The following is a 5465-nucleotide window of genomic DNA, read 5'->3' as shown; positions in this document are numbered from 1 at the left end:
AATAGCTCTTCCATTTTCCTGATCGTTAGTGGCATTTTCTCACAATACAGGTAAAGGCCTTCTGTAGCTAGGAACAAGTATAATAATCAATTTAACTACTTAGAAAAAGCATTTGATACTTCTAGTACACTGTGGTATGATCAAATTATTAGAACTTGAATTTATTGATTTTATGGATCGCTGAAGGATTTAAAATAAATATTCCAGAATATCTTTACTTTCAGGGAATAGCTTTGCTTTTCTTAGGAAGAATACATTACAACAATACCATAAGCCCCAAAACAGATGCATATTTGGTAGACTTAAATAGGCAGTATCTGAAACCTGTTTATTTGCGATTATGTTGCTTTAGCCTGAGTTAGCAAAAGTGTAATATTCAAATCATCAACTGCCTTTAAAAAAATCACAAAAATAGAACAAGTTTTAAAGAAAACAGACAAAAGTTTTAAATAACAATGTGAGAGGTAGTCAAAATTTTTTAAATTAGGACCAAAAACATTAAACATAAAACAAAAAGATTTTAAAATGGGAGTTTACTATATTATTGCATTTTATTTATGTATAGACACCATTTTAAGATGAAAAAATCTACATAGTGAATGAAAATATTTTTAATACATAAATCTGAAAAAAATCCTGTGCCCAAATATGTAAAGATCACCTGAGAATCAATAATAAAATATTACTAGCTCAATTAAAAGTGAACAAAATACTTCAACAGTTACTTCAAAAAAAATCTAAATGGCCTATAAGCATATGTAAAGATGTTGAATATTATTATTAATCAAATAAAACCATATTAAAACAATAATCAGGTATCATTATGTATTCACAAAAATAGTCAATTTTTTAAAGAGTTTGCAAGTGATTAGTGTAGGTAAGGATGTGAAGCAACTGGAACTCTCATACGTCCCTGTTGGTACAGTAAATTTAACAACTGGTAAATGTAATAACTGCATCTTGAGATTGGTAGAATCTGTGGAAGCTAAATATATATTATATAATATATAACTGTTATTTATGATATATAATGTATAAAATAAGTATAGATATGATATAAATTAGCAATTCCTATCCCAGCTATAAGAAAGGTATAGGAAAGCCTAGGTCTAAAAATAAGGATCTTAGCTGGGTGTGGTGGCTCACTCCTATAATCCCAGCACTTTGGGAGGCTGAGGTGGGTGGATCACTTGAGGTAAGGAGTTGAGACCAGCCTGGCCAACGTGGTGAAGCCCTGTTCTACTAAAAATACAAAATTATTTTGTATTTGGGCATGGTGATGCACGCCTGAAGTCCCAGCCACTCAGGAGGCAGAGGCAGGAGGATCGCTTGAACCTGGCAGACAGAGGTTGCAATGAGCCGAGATAGCGCCACTGCACTCCAGCCTGCATGATAGAGTGAGACTCCATCTCGAAAAAAAAAAAAAAGAAAAGAAAGAAGAAAAGAATCTTTATAAAAAGGTACAAAACAACTTTCTTTTCTTTTCTTTTCTTTTTTTTTTCTTTTTTTTTTTTTTGAGATGGAGTCTTGCTCTGTCTCCCAGGCTGGAGTGCAATGGCGCGATCTCTGCTCATTCCAAGCTCCACCTCCCGGGTTCAAGCGATTCTCCTGCTTCAGCCTCCCGAGTAGCTGGGACTGCAGGCACCCTCCACCACTCCCGGCTAATTTTTTGTATTTTTAGTAGAGACGGGGTTTCACCGTGTTAGCCAGGATAGTCTCGATCTCCTGACCGCGTAATCCGCCCGCCTCGGCCTCCGAAAGTGCTGGGATTACAGGCGTGAGCCACCGCGCCTGGCCAACAGCTTTCTTTATTCACTCTAGCAATAAAAAACCAAACCAAACCAAAACTGAAACCACTAAACTCCTCAAATATAGGCCTACCAGAGCAGAATCATAAATCAGTTGTGCTCTATTCATGTAGTAGACTACTTTTCAGAAATTAAAACAACAAAATTCACATCACATACGACAGAGATCTACCTAATAGTGACACACAGAAGAATTGGGGATGGAAATGGGAAGTTTCAGTATACTACATGAGACCACCTAAGTGAAGTACAGAACAAGAAAGCCTTATGTAGGATGTTAATTGTTACTCTACAAGGAATAATATTGACTGGTAGAGTCAAGCGCCAGACTTTGGGAATTAGAGTGTGCTTGTTATAGGTGGTCTATAAATATAAGAAAAATATCACCAACTTGTATACTTAAGATTTAAGTATTTTTAAATATGCCTTAAACAACAGCAACAAAAAGCAAATGAAATGATAGGTTATTTGTTCCTCTAAAGAAAGAAAGCTATTTGAGCTAATTTCTCTTTTAAATTCTTATTGTTGGATACATTCGTAGTATTGTTCATTTCTATGAGATGTAAGATTTTTACCTGTAAGAACTAGAATTCATTCATCTATTCAACACTTATATATTGAGTTTCTATTGCATGCTGGTCATTGAACTGCAGCCAGCAAATCTATCTGGAGAAATGCACAATTTCAAAATTGCTTATAAACTCATCAAAAGCTTAACAGTATATTCAAAGTAATAAAAATTAAACAAGAAATTATATATTTAAGCTTAAAGTTAAGGGCATATGTGGGTGGGGTTTGGGGTCAGCCTTGGGTCTAGGTGACTAAATTCTTAGAGTCAGCTGAGGTACTCTTTGTCTTTAATTATTATTTCCTTCATCCTGTCTTTTTATATTATACATATTTTTAGGGGATTCCTAAGACATTCACAATGCTAACAGTCTCTTACTGAATTCCCCAGGGTCTTTGGCGATGGCATCTATTAACATCTAACACTTTAATAAATACCTAACATCTTAGTAAAGCTTAGTTAGCTATTTTCTTTTAGGAAAAAAAAGAAACACACAATAGGTAAAGGTAACATAAAGGCAAAAATATCTGAAAAATCGAAGATTTTATTTATATATATATATGAATTTAAGTAAGTATTAAATGAAAATGGATGGGAGGCAAAAAGAATTGCATATATTTCACCATCTCACCTAGTCCCAGACCCTAATGGGAACTGAAAGAATATATTGAAAAGAGGAGGCCGGGCGCTGTGGCTCATGCCTGTAATCCCAGCACTGTGGGAGGCCGAGACGGGTGGATCACGAGGTCAGGAGATCGAGACCATCCGGGCTAACACGGTGAAACCCCGTCTCTACTAAAAATACAAAAAAAAATTAGCCGGGCGTGGTGGCGGGTGCCTGTAGTCCCAGCTAATCCGGAGGCTGAGGCCGGAGAATGGCGTGAACCCGGGTGGTGGAGCTTGCAGTGAGCCGAGACAGCGCCACTGCACTCCAGCCTGGGCGAAAGAGCGAGATTCTGTCTCAGAAAAAAAAAAAAAAAGAAAAGAAAAGAGGATAATTGTGTGGATCAGGAAAAAGGAATGAATGGGAGGAGGGCAATACAATCTGTATTTTTGGTAGCACCTTGGATGTCTAATATGCCAGTAAGGGAGTCGGGATGTGAAAACAATTTTGAACAGTTTGTAAAGCTGCTTAGGAAATAGATTTTTGATTACTGTGATTTGACTTTAATGTTTGAGCAATATACTGTTGTGTTGTTAAATCAAAATGGTTTTTATTTTTTAAACGAGTAAAACCAAAAAAAGAGAATATTGGTTATGATGGCCAATGTTCTAGAGTAATAGAAGAATGATGGCTTTATTTTAACTTTTTTAACCCCATGAAATTCTTTACTGTTAGGCATAGCAGGTGAGCAGATGGCTCCAGTCTTTCAAATGTTTGCTTCTCTTTAAAAAGGGACCTCACCTGAGGTAATAGATACCTCTGGAAGAATATAATAAATTTCAGAGCATTGAATTTAACCAAAGTCTGTTATTTAATCATAAATGAGTAAAACAATTCAAGGAAAGCCAGAGATGAAGCAATATTTAATTTCAAAACATAGCATTACCAACTATGTAATGCAATATGCCTACGAAGAAGTCTATTTAAGGTCTGGTATGCACAGACTTTGAAGCTACAGCAATTTCTTCTCATAAAAGTGATGCAATATGTTAAAGGGACAGCATGAGAAGACAGCAATGCAAGCTCAAACACTTTAATGAGTTTGAGGGCCTCTTCAGATGTCAGGATTGGGTCAGGTAAGTGTAACATACACAACTACACTAAAATAGGCAGCAAGTGTTTTGTTACGTGATGTGTCAGGGTATATAAGCATGCCTGCACAGATGTCAACATTCACACTCAGGACCTTGCCTTGAGCAGCAAACCAAACTCACTACCCCTGACACCATGAGCTACTACGGCAGCTACTATGGAGGCCTGGGCTATGGCTGTGGAGGCTTTGGTGGCCTGGGCTATGGCTATGGCTGTGGATGTGGCAGCTTCCGCAGACTGGGTTCTGGCTGTGGCTATGGAGGCTACGGATATGGCTCTGGCTTTGGAGGCTATGGATATGGCTCTGGCTTCGGAGGCTACGGATATGGCTGCTACCGCCCATCATACTATGGAGGATATGGATTCTCTGGATTCTATTAAACTACTGCCCCAGCAACACAATGTGTGAAATTATAAGAGGACTTTCCCAGAGCTGACTTCAATCATTGGACAACAAAGATCATGCTGGAGCTATTTGCACAAAAGAATTTAACATCTCAGAATTTCAGGCAATTTTTTTTCTCTGTATACCCACATCTCTATAATAATCCTAGTATTCTCTACTTTTGCTTTTAAAGCTGATTGAATTATCTGTTTATCTTCCAATAAAACATTCTATTTTCAAACACAATATGGTTCTGTTTTGTTCATGAAACTCAATTATACGTAAGTGATGATGTCAATGAGAGAAGCTATCTCCTTGGTTGAGAATCTATGTTTTTTCATATACCTCATAAACATGCATGCAGATAGATAAATACATCGATAGCTCCAAAGAAGAATAATTCTAGATTGAAATGAAAAGAACTGCAAAATGGTTAGTAATCTGATATTTTTCAACATTTTCCTTTTATTTAGATAGTATTCAGATTTAAGTCAACAACAAAAAGGAATACCTACTAAACATGTCTTTATATTTATATATCAAGCATATATGTTTTATTTAATTCAGATCACATTTGTCAACTCACTCTGAATGTGTAATGAATTCTTCTATCCATTCAAAATTTCTTTCTTTTTATTGTAAGAGCAAGCAAATGGTGACAGATCAAATGATATTCCTAGGTTAATTATGAAAGTGTATTTTCTTTCCAAGAATTATTGTAATTGGTATAACCTCACCCTATCATACTCTTCTGTCCATTAATTTATTTGACATTTTCATTGAACAACTGATGTACATAACTATTAAATTAGTATAGAATTTTTTTTCATATTGGATTAACATATTTAACTCAAAATATTTTAGATAATTTTTTCAGCTAGCTTTTCTATTATCTTACTTGGTCTTCATGGTATGATATGGCAAAGTCATGGCATGATATAGCAAAGT

General features: G+C 35.8%; 1 protein-coding gene across 1 annotated transcript; it reads left to right on the top strand.

The window, feature by feature from the left end:
* The first annotated feature begins 4211 nt into the window (after window positions 1–4211).
* On the top strand, window positions 4212–4763 carry KRTAP19-3 (keratin associated protein 19-3). Its single transcript, NM_181609.4, has one exon. The coding sequence runs from the start codon at window positions 4268–4270 to the stop codon at window positions 4511–4513; it is 246 nt and encodes an 81-aa protein (NP_853640.1). The 5' UTR covers window positions 4212–4267; the 3' UTR covers window positions 4514–4763.
* The last annotated feature ends 702 nt before the right edge of the window (window positions 4764–5465 follow it).

Source organism: Homo sapiens, chromosome 21, assembly GCF_000001405.40.
Source record: "Homo sapiens chromosome 21, GRCh38.p14 Primary Assembly".
In the NCBI taxonomy this organism is placed as follows: domain Eukaryota; kingdom Metazoa; phylum Chordata; class Mammalia; order Primates; family Hominidae; genus Homo; species Homo sapiens.
Note: the sequence above shows the minus strand (reverse complement) of the source record. Positions and strands in the feature narration are given on the sequence as shown.